Source organism: Homo sapiens, chromosome 21, assembly GCF_000001405.40.
Source record: "Homo sapiens chromosome 21, GRCh38.p14 Primary Assembly".
NCBI lineage: Eukaryota > Metazoa > Chordata > Mammalia > Primates > Hominidae > Homo > Homo sapiens.
Genome location: NC_000021.9, coordinates 40,905,436 through 40,925,600, shown reverse-complemented (window position 1 = coordinate 40,925,600; position 20,165 = coordinate 40,905,436). Strand labels below are relative to the sequence as shown.

Here is a 20,165-nt window from a genome sequence, read left to right as displayed (position 1 = left end):
AGAATCTTCTGTGTGACCCCAGGTGCAGGAAAGAAAGAGTCGGCCCTACCTGTGAACACAGGTGAGGGGTGGGGGAAACCCTTTTCTTATGCAACGTGATGCTCATTCGAGAAGTGGTAAGAAGGTTCTAAATGAGAAAATACAGCCTCAAAATGTTCTTTCCATTTTGTCCTTTGACCTGGAGCTAGAAAATAAGTCAGAGAGACTTTTTTTTTTTCTTTATTTGGGGGCAGAGATGAAATGGAGGGAAAACACCTAGTTACTACTTCTGACTTCCAGAGATGCTTTTCAACTGGGTAAAAGAAGGAAATCTGTTTAAACCAAGAACTAATACTATGAATTTGTAGGGTAATTGCATGTTCATAGACCTTGTCCCCTGGAGCATCTGTTAATCTCTCTATATGTGGAGCATCTGGGATTTTCAGTAATTAAAAGAAAGTTTGGAGCCAGATATTTCCTTGAGGAGCCTGGAGAGGTTTGGGCTGCAGGTTCTGTGTAACCCCTGGCACTCAATGACATTTCCAGTACATTGGTTTAAATTGGGCATTGTAGATGTATTTGGTGGTGAGTACTGGCAACTTGAATGCAATAGGGATACATGAATGCAGGCAGGACGGAGGTACGTTTGTGGTTCTCAGGCACTCACACCCCAGCCGGGAGTGTGTTTCTCACACTTATTTGTGCTAGCATCCAGTGGCTGTGGAATTTGCACGTGTCCTGCACCGTCACTTGCTTTGGGCCTGGTCACTTCCTCCACAGCTGTCCTTTCCCCTGCCCCTGCCTGGGTCCTTCTCTGTGAGATCCACGTTGCATTCCTTGGCTTCACGCGGGGAAGCCCCCCGCCCCCAACCCTGTGCCTGAAGCTGCTCCTCCTTGACTTTGTGATCAAACAGGCTGTACTTCTTGTTGCCTTTTTTTTTGTCCACTTGGCCCAGCTTTTATATTTTCCTATCACCTCTGTGAATGAAATTCGTGGAGTCGTGATTTCCCAGGGGAAAACAACATTCCTCCCCCACTCCCTAGTACCACATTTGAAAGGGATTTTTTTTTTTTTTCTGCAGCTACAATCCATAGAATTTCTGTATTTGGACTTGACTTTTACAGCCTGTCTCTCTGCAGCCATTCATAGCTTCCTGGTATAAAAGGGGCAACAAGTGCTGACCACCTGGGTGGTCACTGAGCTCAGTACCACATGTATAAAGGGCATCAATACCGACCAGCAAAAACAGCCCATTGTGTGTGCAGGGTGGCCCTGAGGTGATCCCACCCTTGGGTGATGAGCAGGGCTCAGCTGCTCCCAACTTGAGGTAGCACCCAAGTTCATGATCATCCCGAGGGCTGCTCTTTGGATTCCACACCAGGCTGTGCCATGTAATTGCAGAGTTCAGGTAGATGCAAACACCCTCCCAAGCCATTGCTGCAGCCCATGTTAATTACTCTTCTTCTAGGAATTCAACAGAGCCAGGCTCCAGGGGTAGGAACTCTCACCCTGCCAGCTCCAGGCTCCTGTCAGAATCACCATTTGAGAGCGTTGGGTAAGGACCACAACAGCCCCTCCTCAGGTCTTCCCCGGGGCATTTCAAGTCTTCTCAGTGAACACAAATGAATTCCCTTCTTCGTACCTAAATAAGGCTGCTGATTGACCTGGCGCTAAAAAGGTGGACTAAGGCAAAGACGGCAAGAACGAGAATGGGAAACATTCTTTGGAGCCCCCTAACAGGAAACATATTTACTTTTTGCATTTCTGCAGACATTCAAAACAATTCCTGAACATTAAGAATCGTGCACCCATTTGGAATAATTGAAACTGAAATGTGAAAGGAATTACATTTCACTAATCCATTTACAATGGTATGAATTGCTTCTCATAGCCAACTGCCAGATGGGCTGCTTTATTTAATAACTTGAATGCTAAAGTTCCCCCAGGCAAAGAGACAGTTCTACCACCAACTGTGGAATTTTCTTTCCCTTTCTCCTTTTTCTTGAGGTGGCCTGGCTTTGGTCCAAAACTTCCTGAGCTCTCAGCCAACAGGAGTACCTTCTTGCCTCTCCCAAGTTCTATCCGCCCACGCTGCGCCTCGAGGGGACAAAAGGGGAAATAAAGAACATGTCCTGTTTTGTTCCCACCCCATGATGGCTCAATTTCTCATAATTTATAGAGATAAAATATGCGTGACGGCTACTCTCGAAGCGCAGGAACAGGAACTCTTAGGACTTTGTGTCAAATAGAATCATCAAAAAAAAAAACCTTTTGAATCAAGGGCACTTGGGGAAATGATGTCAGGAAGGCCATCTTGGTTGTGTAGCACAGCAAGGCTCAGGGAATTGCTTTTCCCAGGAATCAAAGCACTCGGAGGGCCCTCCAGGATGGTCCTGTTGTCTTCTTCTCAGAGACTCTAAGCTCTTCTTTAATCAGGTTTGGTACAGAGTCCAATTATTTGTCTGTTATGAAGGTTTGAGACTGCAGAGATGTCAGGAGAGAAAAACGGGTTAGGGCAGAGATTTTCCACGTGTAGGCTGTGGAATCTCTGAGACCCTTTCTGTGGGCCATGAGGTCAAAAGCACTTATATCATATAATCAAAAAGATTTTCTTAATATAATACTAAGGTGCTATTTGCCTTTTTTTTTTTTTTTTGCACTGTGTAGACATTTGCACTAATAATGCAAAAGTGATGCTAAGTGTATTAGTCAGAGTCCTCCAGAGAGAAATAATAGGATGGAGATACAGAAGAGTGGGATAATACATATATACATGATAGATAGATAGATAGATAGATAGATAGATAGATAGATAGATAATTTTAAGGAATCAGCTATGTACTTGTGGGAATTAACAAATCTGAAATCTGCAGGGTATACCATCAGGTTAGAGACTCAGGGAAAAGTTGATGTTTTAGTCTGGAGCCCAAAGGCGGTCTGCAGGCTGAATTTCCTCTTCCTCCAGAGAGCTTAGTTTTTTCTTTTAAGACCTTCAACTGATTGGATAAGACCCACCCACATTATGAAGAATAATCTGCTTTACTCAAAATCTATGGATTTAAATGTTAATCGCATCTTTTGTGTGTGTGTGTGTGTGTGTGTGAGATGGAGTTTCGCTCTTGTTGCCCAGGCTGGAGTTCAATGGTGCAACTTCGGCTCACTGCAACCTCCGCCTCCTGGGTTCAAGTGATTCTCCTGCCTCAGCCTTTGGAGTAGCTGGGATTACAGGCACCCACCATCGTGCCTGGCTAATTTTTTGTATTTTTAGTAGAGATGGGGTTTCACTATGTTGGCCAGGCAGGTCTCTAATTCCTGACCTCAGGTGATCCACTCGCCTTGGCCTCCCAAAATGCTGGGATTACAGGCTTGAGCCTGTAATCACATCCATCCTAATCTCATTTTAAAAGTACCCACACAGAAACATCTAGATCAGTATTTGATCAAACAATTGAGCACCATAGTGTACTCAAGTTGACATAAAATTAACCATCACGGTAGGTAAAACTTCTGGTGCTTCAGGATAAATGAAGGCCATGGATTCAAACTTAATAGTAGTCATTGAATTCTTCTTGATGAAATAATCTGAAATAATTTTATTAAACCTCAAACCCTGAGTTTGTCTTTTTTTAAGTTTAAAAATTAATTTTAATGTCATCACCTTTCTCTGTTACCATATTTGTATAATTATTTTCATATTCGCAAGCATAGCATTCATACATTTTGATATCCTTTTTCATTTAATTGTTAATTAATTATTTTCATTGGTATATAAAGATTGTACATATTTTAGAGGTGCATGTAATATTTTGATACCTGTATACAATGTGAGATGATTAAATCAGGGAAATCGGGATATCAATCACCTCAAACATATATCATTTTTTGTGTTAGGATCATTACAAATCTTCTTTTCTAGGTATTTTGAAGTACACAGTACATTATTATTAGCTATAGTCATCCTACTCTGCTATTGAACTTTAGAGCTTATTCCTTCTGTCTACCTGTATTTTTGTACCCCTCAACCAACTTCTCTTGATCCCTTCTCCCCACCTGCTCCTTTCCAAGCAGCTGGTAACCATAATTTCCCACTGGGAAGATTTCCATTCACCACCATCCTTCCGGGGTGTCCCAGCAAGGGGTCGTGGTGCTGCAAGTGTGCACTTCTGGATGGTGCCCACACATGGTGCAGAACCATCTGTAAACCAAGCCCGAGTCTTCCCTTCCTCTGTCACCTGATCATAGGGAACTTCCCATGAGGCCACGGTGCAGGCTGGAAGAGAGAAGGCAGTATAGCAGGAGTGGGGACCATGGCCATTGGGGTCACTTCTTCGTGTAACTTACTCATGTTTTCAGGGCCTGCTTGGGCCCAGTCACGTACAGACCACTCCTGTCTGATGATGGACAGCTCCTGTGCATGCCCAACTTTACGGCGTGGTGGGTCATGTGCATGCCCAACTTTATGACCCAGTCTGTGATGGGGACCCCAGGTCACATGGTAACCTGGTAGCCCATGGTAAAGTGTTTAGTTTCTATCAAGGCCCAGTTGCAGGCCAAGAGCTGTCTCAAAAAGAGAATGGTTATCTGTGGAGGATGGCAGAGCCTTCCTCCAAAATCCGAGAGGCCTCCACTGCAATTCACCTATAGGGAATGCCTGAAGCTCCACACTGTTTTCCTCTCTGCCACTGACACCTCCAGCACCATTGGATCTGCTGGGTCATATGGTCCAGGTGGCAGGGCAGCTTGAACAACAGCCTGGGCCTGTTGCAGAGCCTTCTTTTCTGAGCCCCACTCAAAACTAACAGCTTTTTCTGGATCACTTTATGAATGAACTGGAGAAACACCCAACCATCTTCCCTCCAAAATCCAAATTGACCCACTAGGTGTTGTCCTTCTGTTTTGGTTGTAGGAGGGGCCAGATGCAGCAACTTATCCTTCACATTAGAAGGGATGTTTCAACAGGCCCAATACCACTGGACCCTTGAAAATTTCACTAAGGTAGAAGGCCCCTGAATCTTAAATGGATTTCACTCTCACCCTCTGACATGCAAATGTCTTACCAATAATTCCAGAACAATTTCTACTTCTTGCTCACTAGGTCCAATCAGCATAAAGTCATCAATGTAACACACCAGTATGACATCTTGTGGAAGGAAAGGCAATCAAGTTCCCTGCAAACAAACTTGTGACATAGGACTAGAGAGACGATAGGCCCTTGAGGTAGGACAGTGAAGGTGTATTGCTGGCCCTGCCAGCTGAAAGAAAACTGCCTCCTGTGAGCCTTATGGACAGGGATGAGGCAACAAAGGCATTTGCCAGATCAATAGCTGCATACCATGTACAAGGAGATGTGTTGATTTTCTCAAGCAATGAAACTACATTTGGTACAGCAGCTGCAATTGGAGTCACCACCTGGTTAAGCTTATGAAAGTCCACTGTCATTCTCCAAAATCCATCTGTCTTCTGCACAGGCCAAGCAGAAGAGTTGAATGGGGATTTGATGGAAATGACCACCCCTGCATCTTTCAAGTCCTTAATGGTAGCACTAATCTCTGTAACACCTTCAGGGGTGCAATATTGTTTTTGATTTACTATTTTCCTAGGTAGAGGGAGCTCTAACAGCTTCCATTTGGCCTTTCCTGCCATAGAAGCCCTGATTCCACAGGTCAGGTAACCAATGTAGGGATTCTGCCATCTGCTAAGTGTGCATCTATTCTAATTATGCATCCAGCATGGGGGAAATGACCACATGTGGGTCTGGAGACCTCCTGGACATACCGTAAGTCAGAACTGAGCCAAAACTCCATTAATGACTTGATCTCAATAAACCCTACCCTAATTGAATGGCCCCAGTGATGTTTTAGGTTCAGAGGCAGTGTCCAGTAGGTCCTTGAAAAATCTGATTATTTCCTTTCCCACAATGCACAGTCATTCTGGCTAAATGCCAGAGGTCCCTTTGGGGAAGCATCAGAGAAACTTTAACGGTATACATTTTCAGTAGTGTACCAGTGTCCTTCTTCAGGGAGACCTGGTCTCCCTTTCACGCAAGGGGCTCTGCATCTATAAACTGGCTCAAGTCCAGAAATTGGTTGAGGGCTCATGATTCTGTTTTTATGATTTGAGTTAGACTTTTATTCACCTGCCCTGAAAGTTTTCTGCTTATACAGACCAAGTAAGAATGTAGTAGACTTCCCATTTATTTCATTTCTAGGAACACCATGATTAACTCCAATGTCATAGGCCAACATGAGTCAGACCTCTGATTGCTGAATTGCCTCTGCTGTCCATTACAGTAACTGCACCCTCCTTGCCTTTGGGGATTGAGTGCTGCCACTTGACCTCTGCCACCCCAGGATCCAATTATCCCCATTGCATTTAAGTTTTCCAATTGAGTAATCGTGGTTCCCACGGTAGGATCTGGCATACAGGGAACAGCAATCATAGAGCTCTTCAGGGATGCTGGGACTTCCATACAAACCTGTTTCTCAAGGAGTTGGTGAAACATCTGTTTTCTGGATCCACCAGTGTGGGTGAGTGGGTTTTAAGTGACAAACCCACTCTAGGATTCCAGTCTGCCTAAGCCTTTGAGTCCCTGCCTCTATATTAGCCCAAGGGAGATCAGACGTCTCCAACTCATTCAGGGCACACCATCTTTTGGTCCATGTTTCAGCCAACCAACCAAACAATTATTGCCTGTTTAAACTCCCTGAGCTGCAACATTAAATGCAGAATCCCTGCTTAATGAGCCCCTATTAACACAACTTTCCCGATCCAACTTTATGTTCCTTCCATCATTTTCCAACATTCTTAATATGCATTCCCACATGTGTTTTCCAGATTTCTGCTTGCATAAATTAGAAAATTCAAATAATGTTTTTGACTGTACCACACCTCCCATGTGTCACCCTGTGTATCTGACCTTTAGGGTCCAGCTGGGACTTCAGCATAGTTAAAGGTCTGGAAGCAGAGGGATGGTGGGGCTGGGTCTCGAGGAGAATCAGCATTGTCTTGCCTGAGGGGAGGCCATGACCATTTCCTCAGGCAATGCAGGGTTTTGCCTCTCAAACAGGTGGAGAGGCCTACATCCCCCAGGATGCCACTGCCATTGAGGGTGAAGAGGCCACTTTCCCGGGAAAACAAGATTCATCAGAATTTAGGAGATCAGTGTCCCGAGCTTTATCAGGGTCTTCCCACATGGCCCCATCCCAGCTCACAGGGTCCTATTCTTTCCCAATCAATGCCATGATTTTAATAGTAGACCCCTGGCAAGACTAAGAGTTCACTTTTCATTGTAAGTCAGCCAATCTCAGGATGAGGGCTTGTGTTTGATTTTCAGCAATGTTAACCCTGTGGCTACAGAAGAGGAGATTCTCCTTCAGGGCACATTTGGAAGCTTTTGGGCTATTTATGTACATCTGGAGCAGAGAGTTGGAATCTCTGAGCTCATCCTTCTTTCATCACTTTGTCCAGTGATGTTAGGAGCAACCAATTGATGTCATTATATTGTGTGGTTTCCCACAAATGCTCAAAAGTGTCATCTACAGAGTCAATGAGTTCTTTGCTTCATAAGGTGGTGAATTAGGAGTATTAAAATTATTTGTTTTGTGTATCTCTATTAACAGTTCATGCCATGGACTATCAGTGCTATCTGAACTATTGGTACAATCTTTCGCATTTTTAGGTCTAGTCAGATTAGAGAGCAAAGTTGAGAAACTCCAAAACCAATTAAGAAAATTCATTCTTAAAATTCTGTTTCTTTTTTTTTATTATTATACTTTAAGTTTTAGGGTACATGTGCACATTGTGCAGGTTAGTTACATATGTATACATGTGCCATGCTGGTGCGCTGCACCCACTAACTCGTCATATAGCATTAGGTATATCTCCCAGTGCTATCCCTCCCCCCTCCCCCCACCCCACTACAGTCCCCAGAGTGTGATGTTCCCCTTCCTGTGTCCATGTGATCTCATTGTTCAATTCCCACCTATGAGTGAGAATATGCAGTGTTTGGTTTTTTGTTCTTGCGATAGTTTACTGAGAATGATGATTTCCAATTTCATCCATGTCCCTACAAAGGACATGAACTCATCATTTTTTATGGCTGCATAGTATTCCATGGTGTATATGTGCCACATTTTCTTAATCCAGTCTATCATTGTTGGACATTTGGGTTGGTTCCAAGTCTTTGCTATTGTGAATAGTGGCGCAATAAACATACATGTGCATGTGTCTTTATAGCAGCATGATTTATAATCCTTTGGGTATATACCCAGTAATGGGATGGCTGGGTCAAATGGTATTTCTAGTTCTAGATCCCTGAGGAATCGCCACACTGACTTCCACAATGGTTGAACTAGTTTACAGTCCCACCAACAGTGTAAAAGTGTTCCTATTTCTCCACATCCTCTCCAGCACCTGTTGTTTCCTGACTTTTTAATGATTGCCATTCTAACTGGTGTGAGATGATATCTCATTGTGGTTTTGATTTGCATTTCTCTGATGGCCAGTGATGATGAGCATTTTTTCATGTGTTTTTTTGGCTGCATAAATGTCTTCTTTTGAGAAGTGTCTGTTCATGTCCTTCGCCCACTTGTTGATGGGCTTGTTTGTTTTTTTCTTGTAAATTTGTTTGAGTTCATTGTAGATTCTGGATATTAGCCCTTTGTCAGATGAGTAGGTTGCGAAAATTTTCTCCCATGTTGTAGGTTGCCTGTTCACTCTGATGGTAGTTTCTTTTGCTGTGCAGAAGCTCTTGAGTTTAATTAGATCCCATTTGTCAATTTTGTCCTTTGTTGCCATTGCTTTTGGTGTTTTAGACATGAAGTCCTTGCCCATGCCTACGTCCTGAATGGTAATGCCTAGGGTTTCTTCTAGGGTTTTTATGGGTTTAGGTCGAACGTTTAAATCTTTAATCCATCTTGAATTGATTTTTGTATAAGGTGTAAGGAAGGGATCCAGTTTCAGCTTTCTACATATGGCTAGCCAGTTTTCCCAGCACCATTTATTAAATAGGGAATCCTTTCCCCATTGCTTGTTTTTCTCAGGTTTGTCAAAGATCAGATAGTTGTAGATATGCGGCCTTATTTCTGAGGGCTCTGTTCTGTTCCATTGATCTATATCTCTGTTTTGGTACCAGTACCATGCTGTTTTGGTTACTGTAGCCTTATAGTATAGTTTGAAGTCAGGTAGTGTGATGCCTCCAGCTTTGTTCTTTTGGCTTAGGATTGACTTGGCGATGTGGGCTCTTTTTTGGTTCCGTATGAACTTTAAAGTAGTTTTTTCCAATTCCGTGAAGAAAGTCATTGGTAGCTTTATGGGGATGGCATTGAATCTGTAAATTTCCTTGGGCAGTATGGCCATTTTCACAATATTGATTCTTCCTACCCATGAGCATGGAATGTTCTTCCATTTGTTTGTATCCTCTTTTATTTCGTTGAGCAGTGGTTTGTAGTTCTCCTTGAAGAGGTCCTTCACATCCCTTGTAAGTTGGATTCCTATGTATTTTATTCTCTTTGAAGCAATTGTGAATGGGAGTTCACTCATGATTTGGCTCTCTGTTTGTCTGTTGTTGGTGTATAAGAATGCTTGTGATTTTTGTACATTGATTTTGTATCCTGAGACTTTGCTGAAGTTGCTTATCAGCTTAAGGAGATTTTGGGCTGAGACAATGGGGTTTTCTAGATATACAATCATGTCGTCTGCAAACAGGGACAATTTGACTTCCTCTTTTCCTAATTGAATACCCTTTATTTCCTTCTCCTGCCTAATTGCCCTGGCCAGAACTTCCAACACTATGTCGAATAGGGGTGGTGCGAGAGGGCATCCCTGTCTTGTGCCAAAAATTCTGTTTCTTTAGAATCACTTTTGGTACCACAATCTGCATTAGAGATTGAATTACTTATTGAATCTTACTGATTGAATCAGTGAGATGTATGGAAGGGGATTTATTAGGGGGAATTGGCTCACATGATCACAGAGGCAAAATCCCATGATAGACCCACTGCAGGCTGGAGAAGCAGAGAAGCCATTCATGTGGCTCAGTCCCAATCCAAAGCCTCACAACCAGGAATCCCCTAGGGTAGCCCTCAATCAGGCTGAAAAGCCCTGGGAGGCTGTGGTGCAAGTCTCAGAGGCCAAGAGCTGAAGAACCTGGTGTCTGACATCCAAAGGCAGGAGGAGAAAAAGCATCTTGCTCCAGCAGGGAGAGAGAAAGCAGAGACAGCACGCAGTCCCGCTTCTTCTGCCCGTTTTGTTTCAGTCACGCCCTCAACCAATTGGATGCTGCAAACTCACATGGAGGGTGGATCTCCCTCCTCAGTCCACTGACTCACACACCAGTCTCCTCTGGAAACATCTCACAGACATACCCGGAAACGATGCTTCACCAGCCATCTAAGCATCCCTCAACTCAGCCAAGTGGTCACCTAAAATTAATCATCTCACAGCTCCACTGCAGCTGACTACATTTTTGGCCAGGCCAACTGGAATCAATGTGTGCCATGCTGGGCACCTCTTCACCATGCTTCCTGCCCAATGCCCCTTTCCTGGCCTCACGTTCTTTTCTCATCTTTTACCTCTTTGCAGACCACTCAATCTCCAGTTCCTGAACGACCTGCCCTTCAGACCCATCCGGCCTCCAACTCTTCTTATTTAGTTTGGACACACACAAACCCATCTCAGATTCTTTCTCTTTTTCTTCTCTCAGGAACATCTTCTGACACTTGCATGGCACAGTGTCTGCCTTCTTTCATTCTCTGCCCACATATCATCATCCTTGGGATGGCTCTCTGAGGACCACCCTCTGGAAAGGGACACACTGGCCATTTTCCATCCTCTTACCTTGCTTTATTTTCCTTCTTAGTTGATATGGTTTGGCTGTGTCCCCGCCCAAATCTCATCTTGAATTGTAGTTTCCATAATCCCAACATGTCGTGGAAGGGACCAGGCGGAGATTATTCGATCAGGGGACTATTTCCACCATGCTCTTCTTGTGATAGTGAGTGAGTTCTCACAAGATCTTATGGTTTTATAAGGGGCTTCCCCTTTCACTTGGTGCTCACATATCTTCCTGCCACCATGTGAAGAAGGACATGTTTGCTTTCCCTTCTGCCATAATTGTACGTTTCCTGAGGCTTCCCCAACTATGCTGAACTGTGAGTCAATTAAACCTCTTTCCTTTATAAATTACCCAGTCTTGGGGATGTCTTTAGTAGCAGCATGAGAATGGACTAATACGGCAGTCTTTTCTTTTGCCATGATATTTCACATTTCCTTTTTACTTGTTTATTGTTTTTCTCCCCCGTCTTATTCACTACCATGGACATGTGCCTTTTTCATTCACTATCATGGCCCTTTATTTAAAACAGAACCCGGCACATAGCAGGCACTCAATGCATATTTGTTGAAGAAATGAATTCACTCCCAAAGTCTCCTTTTCCCTTCTGATGTACAAATAAGAGTTCTCAAAACTTGCCTTTTTTTAAAAAAGGAAGAAAAATCATTTCATTCCAGAAAACAAAATGCTTTCTTTCCTCCTCTTCCTTCTCCAATTCCTTCCACCCAGCCACAGCCCACGACTCAGTGCCTCTTAGAGACAGTGTCCCTTGGTGGCATAATACACATGGGGTCAGCATTTGACTTCTTGATTTGGGAGTGGCATGGACACAGCTCATTTGCCCAAGTCAGATAAGATTTCCATCCCCACATCAGGAACTCCAAGTCATTGCCCAAAGTGGGAGTGGGAATGAGAGGAGAAAGGAAGAATTTTATAATTCATCCAGGCTTCAACTCTAAACATTTATTTTAAAAATACTTTTTTTTTTTTACTACGACAGCATATGTATTGCAGAAAATTTGAAAACTATAGAAACTTAGTTTTATTGATTGACTGATTTTGATATGCCCATGTAGAATGCTTATCCAGTGCTAGACACTCTTCACAACAACCCTGTGAGGTAGGTACTATTATTATCTTCTTTTATAGATGAGGAAACTGAGGCACAAAGGTTAAGTATTTTGCCTGAGGTCACACAGCTTTCAGGGGGAGAAGAGGTTGGGTTTAAACCTGAATCTGCATCCAGAGTCTGTGCTCTTAAACACTATGTGAAAATAAAATAAAAATAAGATGTGTGATTTAGAGATAACCAGTGGCTATTTTTCTCTTCTTTGTGAGATTTTGTTTTCCTTTCTCTTTCTCTGTTTCTCTCTGTGTGTGTGTGTGTGTGTGTGTGTGTGTGTGTGTGTGTGTCTATACACAAATTCTGGGCCATATTGTATATTGCTGCTTTGTTTTTAAGTAAAGTACTTCATAAATTATTACATACCTTACATTTTCTCGTGTCATTAAGTGCTTTTAAGACATGATTTTAGGCCGGGCGCGGTGGCTCACACCTGTAATCCCAGCACTTTGGGAGCCGAGGCAGGCGGATAACGAGGTCAGGAGATCGAGACCATCCTGGCTAACACGGTGAAACCCTGTCTCTACTAAAAATACAAAAACAAAATTAGCCAGTCATGGTGGCGCATGCCTATAGCCCCAGCTACTCGGGAGACTGAGGCGGAAGAATGGCGTGAACCCAGGAGATGGAGCTTACAGTGAGCTGAGATCACGCCACTGCACTCCAGCCTGGGCGACAGAACAAGACTCTGTCTCAAAAAAAAAAAAAAAGAAATGATTTTAGTGGCTTCATGGCATCTCATCCTATGGATGTCTCACTGTGAATGTGACCTGCTGTGATTATTGAACACTGAGGTTGTTCTGTGTTTTTATCATGAGGAATCCTTTCCATCTGCTGGCCACTTCCGTGAAGCCTTATGGTGACAGCTCAGCAGTGGACGCTCTAACCTCACTGCTGTGGTTCCGCAGGATTGAGTTAGGAGAGTGAAGCTTTGGCTGACATCACTGATGGCTTTCTTGTATTTATATATTCTTGATATTTTTACATCTGAATCCAGGCATGGGTTTCCATCATCATCCAATGACACTGCAGTCAAGAACAACCTCATTTGCTTAATATACAGTGAACATGCAGGTGTGACTCGCCCACCCCATGCCGGGAGTGAATTGCCTGATGGTCCTCACCGAGTAGTGGATTTATGAGGATGTGGAATAACCTTTGCAGGAAACAGAGAGCTTTTATTCAGCCACTGCCCCATTCCCAGACTTTCCATCTCAGCACGCCAGTATCACTAATCTGCAAGCATCTTTGAGAGACACACACTGCTGGAGCACATTTTCCAAACAACAGAAGCCATTACGTTGGACAACATTAGCCATTTTTGATGGAAATAATGCTAACATTCAGCTTCCCTGGAGCAGGGATGTTCACAGCATCCCCAGGGATCTGGCCTATGATCAGGCCCTGAACAAATGCTTGTTAATGTCCGGAATGAATGAAGGTGGTGAGGCAAGCCCCCGGCATCTGATTCTGCAAAGTGAACCTGCCTTTTGCCTTTCTCCAGGACTCAGGATGATCCTCCCCAGCTCTCAACCTTCCCTGCATATTCCCCCAGTGGCAAGCAGGCAGATGGCCACTCCTGCAGCAGGGACCCTCTGCTGGGGTCTTAAGATTGCACCTGCTCTTAGTGGTTTCTCTCTCCCCACACCCACTGCTGGTGTGGTGCAGCCTCTAATCTGATGTGGGCCGATAATGACCAATGAGGATTTGTGAATAGTACAGTTAGCAAAGAGATGTTTACCCATGCTGTATAAAACAACCAGCAACCAAGTTTGTTAGCACGTGGGTGTATTTTCTATGTCTGAGGAGTGTTTCAGCCCACTGATGACAAGCCTGTGGCCTGTAGAGCTACTGTGTGGGTGCCAGAAAGCTACAGGTGCCTGTGAATGGGCTCAGGACCTGGTTTGATGCCATTTTCATCACTATTTTTCAGATATACAGAGACATTTGTTGCAATTTATAAAGTAACAGGGACTTGAATGATTTTATTAACATTTCTAAAGAAAGAGCATTTATTAGCCCTGGAGAAGGGCAGCAGCCAAAAAGGAAGAGCATTTGGCCTGAGTCTGAACATTGCTTGAGGACAGGGCTGGCTTCTGGAAGCTCAGTTATAAATAGAGAAAAGAGGGTCCCTTTATTTTAGGTGAGGAGGGGATCCTAGCTGCTGGGCACTCTGTGCACAAAGTTTCTGAGACTGTGCGTGTGGCTTGGGGTCCTCCAGGAAGCTGTGCCCAGCAGAATTCGATGTGCAGGAGACTTCCTGGGGGGCTGTCTGTAGCGCAAGTGAGCAGAGAGGGCTTCAGGACATCATGGGGATCTGACAACTATAAGGAAAGGAGGAGGAGGTAGAGTTGGGTAGAAAGATCCTCACTCTGAACTAGAGCCCCCAGAGAGTCTTGAGCAGGCTGACAGGGATCCCAAGATTGCCTTGGAGGTGGCCTGCATTGGCAGAAATGGCCTGGCTCTTGTACTGTATCAGAGCTGCCTGGGGAGAGAGTGGTCTCAGCGTAAACACTGCAGCAGATATGGGAGATGTGGCAGATGGGTGCTGTCCACAAACTACACTCCTGGCTGTAGCCTTTTCTCAAAGGGTGGGCTGAGATGCCCATACCCAGCTGCCCCATGGCTCATGTCCACTCACATAGGTGGAGGGGCCCTGGGGAAGGTGGACTCTCAGGGGTGGTCCCCTTCTCCCACCTGAGCTCATCCTGAACTGTCCTCATGTCCCTGGACCTGGCTGTGCACAGGAATTCCTCTCCCAGGAATGCTGGTCCAGATCAGAGAAGGGCCACCACGGTGAGAAAGAGGAAATAGCTGATGGAGAAGTGGAGTCATCAAGAAGGTATCAGGCAGGAAAGCACATGGCCCTGGTGTCATTTTCCAACACCACAGTTACCAGGAAAGAAGCCACAAGCTATAGCTGCAACACTGAGGGACCGAGTGAGGGTGAGACCTTTGACATGGAAGCTAGAGCAGAGTTGGCCAAAGAAACATGGGGACAAGGACCATGAAGCCCTGGGTGGGTAGCACTACATAAGTGGAAATCCACCACCACATGTGTCCCTACACACGGCTCATAGCTTTCTTTTGTTTTCTTTTTCAATGGGCACTGAGTAAATTTATATTTTCTTGTACACAGGAGCAATTATTCTGAAGCTGGCAGTGGCTGGGTGCTAGAAATGGCCACTAGTTTAGGCAGTGCCGGCTCCTCAGCCATTTGTAAATTTACATTTTCTTGTACAGAAGAGCAATGGTTCTGAAGCTGGCCATGGCTGGACTACTAGGCATGGCCACTAGTTTAATGCAGTGGTTGCTCCTGAGCCATTGGCCAGCTCGGGCCTGAGCTGAGCAGAATGGTTGTCACAATGGTGGCACCTTTTAGCTCAGAAGATGCAGATACCACTGAGAGCCATCGTGGCAGCTCTATCTTTCCAGAAAAGGTGTGGGAGCTCCAGGCAGGTGAACCTGCCACACTTGTGTTCTGAGGGCCTTTCGTCTTCTCCTGGATCATTCTTATCTCCTGAGTAAGTGGGGCTCTGTGCTTCCTCATCTGCTTTGGGTCTGTGGTTGTTACTGTGAGGCTCAGCCTGGCATTGACCTTCCTATGTGCCATCTGACCCTTTTCCTCCCACCACTTACATCTGGCTCTGCCCTGGTTCATGAAACGCCTTGGCCCACCCTCACCTGTAGATGTCTCTGCTTAGCACTTTGCTCAGTCAAGAGGTTTACCTGTCATTTGCTGTAGATAATTAATATGTATTTATATATATCCCAGGATAAAAATATATATTTACATTTTAAGATAAATATATATAAAAGTATATATATATATATATATATCAGGATTAAAACATATATATGTGTATGACCTAAAATGTGTATTTCTTTAGCTCAAAATGTTTACTTTTGTTTACATTCAAAACGCTTTTCCACTTTAAAACATATTTACCATTGTCTAGAAATGTTTTGAACATATCAGTTTTCCTGATGGGTCACTGAGCACTTTCTATGATGGCTATGTTGTTTGATTTTGGAATGGTTCTACAACTGAAATGTGCCTTGGCAAATTTAATCACCTAATTATAGCATAGAATCTTTCCCGTGTGGTAGAGGTAAAGCTGTTTATCACAGTGACTTTTGACATCACACACATTTTTCAAAGTCACATTACTGGGGTTTCATCGTGAGAAGAGCCACAGGTTAAACGCCTCTACATCAAGGCTCTGTCCTGGATAACAGATGTGACTTGTACACATTTAAGAAGATTTTCATCCTTAAGTTACTGACAGCCTGATTCAAGAGAAAAGACACAAAAATTCCTTACTAAGTATAGACACTAAATAGGTGCTAAGTGAGAGACGGTGACATTAAATTCCATGGAGAAGAGGGAGAGAGGTCTATGGCAATGTCACATTTAGCTTGTGGCTGTACGTATGCAATAAAACATGCACTAATAATATTTAATTACTGTGATGGTGTCTGCCAGGAGCACCGGGGTTGACTGTGCCCCACTGAAGGGGGAAATGGGAAAGTGATGGGGGAGCCAAGCAGGTGCTCTGGGCAGGGAACAGCATGGAATCATGGAATGGTTCCAGGAGACTTGAAGACTAGGCTGAGACCTACTTGATTAGAATGAATGGTTCATTGAAGTGGGGGTGATGAGAAATGAAACTGGAAATTAAGTGAGACACCTCAAAATTGTGACTTCCAAGATGAGCCGTAAGTATCTTCTCCCATGCAGGGTGTGGATTCGAGCACAGATGGCCAGCCCACCTGCAGCCCGTGGTTCCTCAGCATCTCAGCCATCATTTTATTTTAAAAGATGTAATCCTGTGTGCCTACTGATTCATTGATTTGGGGTTACAACGATGGAGGTGTCAGCTCAAACAAGGGGGTTGTGCATAAGGAGAAACAGTGCATGCATTAGGTGTGGAAACCCAGAGCCCAGGACACTGAGGATTCCCCACGCTTAGCATGGCTTGGAGGGAGCTCCCACCTTATAAGAATCCTCAAAGGGCTGAGTTTACTGTTATTGCTGAAAAACTCATGTTCTTTTCCTCCCAGCTAGTAAAGCTATTTCATTTGGTAAGAAAGATAAGCAGGTTGCGTTCCCTGTGATACCTTGCTTCATCACAATTTAATCAAGAAATAAGAATAATGGATACTCAGATGTGGGACTTGCCACTTTGAGCCCCACTGGGGAGAATGAGAGAGCCCCGCTTACTCACAGAGCTGGTTACGTGCAGTTGAGCCCTGGTGGGGGTGTCTCTGCCTCTGCTGAGCCAGGAGGCTGACCTTGATGAACACATCCTGAGGCCACTTACCCTCTAGCCTCTCACAGCTTCCCCAGTGAGAGGCAGGGGAGGGAGATTTGAGGGGGAAAGGGAGAGATGAATTATGTCCAGGGACAGAGATGGCTTCCCACTTTGGTCCCTGGGTACTGTGCAAGCTGTCTTGTACCTGTATTTCAAGACATGGGCCTTTCATTGAACTCTCTTCACGAACTCTTTGTGGGTGCTATCTGATTCTTGCCAGGTCTTTGATGGTACCACCATACCTCATCCTGTGTGTGATGTAGGCAGCATCTTCCAAGAAGTGTATGAGAAGAGGATGAAGGCATTTCTCCCTTTAATCTTGACAACAGAGGGGACACTTCCAAGGAGAAGAGCTAATCCTCTCTATGTACCATGGACCAGGTACTAAGCAGGAAGCACTTAGCCATTACATGTATTGCCTTATTTCCTTCCCATCCCATTGGGTACTGAGGCCATTTTACAGAGGAGGAAACTGAGGCACAAAGATTAGATAACCATGCAGCTAATGCATGCTAGAACATGAGATTAAACCCAAGGTCTCTGAGTTTATAGTCCACTTACAACCATATGTATGTTTTCTTCTTGATAATTATTTCATTTCCTGATTTTTCTTTGATTTCCTCAATAAAATTTTTCTAAAGATCAATAGCTAAAATTGATATTATTTTAAAACATTGAGGTATGATAAAGTATTTTTCCCATTTTAGATGATTAAACAAACAAATAAAATGTTGTGTCATTGATCTAATTTGGACTTTTTCAATTCTATTCTTAATATTTTCTTAATAGTCCAAATGTCTTGACTTCGTTTTTAACTGTAGAGGAGCTAGTATATGCTGGACTTAGTTCAATTACATTGTCAATGAATAGTGAGGTAACATTTCTCATAGAGACACTTGGTTAAAAGTAGTTATGAGAAGCAAACGAAATAGAATGAAAATATAATATTAAATAAAACATATTCATGATATGCCATAGATGAGATTAAACTTACAAGCAGACTTTACCCATATGCTTTCTTAGTATAATTTATTTGTTAAAATTTTTATTTGTAGATAAATTCGTTAAACATAACTGTTTTTAATACAGGGCTCTTATTTGAATTGGTTATTTATGTTGAAATGATGGTTTGAAGTTCCCTTTTCATGAGTTACCATCACTGAATTTCAAATGGTGTGTATACTAAAACCCACATAAGCATAAGATGGAATCTCTCTGACATCGTTTCTAAATGCATTCCTGGCTCCAAACCCAACATGAGTGAACCAAAACTTATCACCAAAAATTTGTCACAAGAGGTAAGACACACAAGACACTTTGACTTTCAGCTCCTCCTCTAAAAAATAATTTACTCCACCTCTAAAAAATAATTTAGATATTATAACCCTGTCTCTCTCAGCTATAAGAATCTTTTCTCTTTCATGTTTTTTTCATTGTGGTAAAATATACACAACCAAAAATTTACCATTTTCACTATTTGTAGCGAACAGTTCAGTGACATTAAGCACATTCACATTTTTGTTCAAATGTCTCCAGAACTATTTTATTTTCCCAAATGGAATCTCCATACTCATTATATCAATGTGTTTGAAGCGTGATTCAGCACTCAGCATAGTGCCTACCTGCTACAGCTAGTGTCACATGAACAATTGATAACCCTATGGCCCCATCCAATTGCTGATAAAATATGAATGCCAGAAGTCAAGATTATAATCCTTTTCCATGCCAATACTGAATCCATTGATCTCTGTAACAACTCATTAATCAGCACGCTGGAAGCAATTGTCCAACTGGCTTACAGTTCTTCTAATTATTCCAAGTTTTCCTCTTCAGTCTCCGCTGCATTCACAGAATGGAGGAAAGTCTTTGTCAAAGGACTTCCTGAACTCAAGCCAACTTTCCCCTGGGGTCTTAATCTTTGAGATGAGATCTAACAGATCAGTAATCTTGCTAGAAAAAGAAAAATGATGCTTTATCAGGACATCCTCTTTGTGACCCCATGCTCGCTATTAGTTGCTGTTTTATGCTCATGAACACATCCGCAAGGCCAACATGTGTCCAGCATGTTCAGTTGTTTACATCAGGATTAGCCAGGGTGCCTCCTTGTTCATACTACAAAATCAGAGGGACGGCAATGTGAGCAGGAGGCACGCCTTCCATGGCTGCTCACTGCCTGGCTTGGCCATGCCATACCCTGGTCCCGGGTGGCACACATGCCCTCCACTTTGGCGATCTATCACCTCCTCCACATCCTGGCACTGCTTGGTACTCCTTGGGCTGCCTACCAGACCATTAAGTGACCCTGAGCCCTCCCAGGTGTCACCATCTCCTGTATCTCTTTTACAACAGCATCCCTTCTGAATTTTCTAGTAAGCTCAAATCCACCTTTTCTAAACCAGCTTTGTGTGTCTGATTTGTCCTGAATTCCTTCTTACTATTAGGGTTTTCTTTTTTTTTTTTTCTTTTTTTTAAATTTATTATTATTATACTTTAAGTTTTAGGGTTATTGGAAATCATCGTTCTCAGTAAACTATCGCAAGAACAAAAAACTATTAGGGTTTTCATGAGACCACATTCACTTTCTCCCGGGATTTCTGGAAATTTACTTTAGCAAATGTTTATTCAACACCACCCAGCACTTGCCAGGCATTGTTCTCTTTTAACCGTCATGACAATCCTTTCAGCTAAGTACTGTTTATTGCCTCCATTTTCAGATGCAAGATGGGTATGAAAAGGTTAAGCAGCTTCCCAAGCCTTGGGGCCATGTGAGCCTGTCTGGTCCCGGAGTCCATGCTCCTAGCTCTGTATTCTCTGTATGCTGTGTCTCCAGAACAAACCAGTTCTTTCTTGGCAGTTATATTAAATGTCCCCTTGTTCCTTCTTGGGATAAAATTTTTAGCATTACTGGTAAGCCAA

At 43.4% G+C, this 20,165-nt stretch overlaps 2 annotated features.

The window, feature by feature from the left end:
- Positions 289 to 788: an enhancer, noted in NCBI's record as "H3K4me1 hESC enhancer chr21:42296739-42297238 (GRCh37/hg19 assembly coordinates)". NCBI's record gives its function as "activates a minimal SCP1, AML or CMV promoter by ChIP-STARR-seq in naive H9 embryonic stem cells {active_cell/tissue: H9 hESC(naive)}" and the evidence as "EXISTENCE:reporter gene assay evidence [ECO:0000049][PMID:30033119]".
- Positions 789 to 1,290: an enhancer, noted in NCBI's record as "H3K4me1 hESC enhancer chr21:42296237-42296738 (GRCh37/hg19 assembly coordinates)". NCBI's record gives its function as "activates a minimal SCP1, AML or CMV promoter by ChIP-STARR-seq in naive H9 embryonic stem cells {active_cell/tissue: H9 hESC(naive)}" and the evidence as "EXISTENCE:reporter gene assay evidence [ECO:0000049][PMID:30033119]".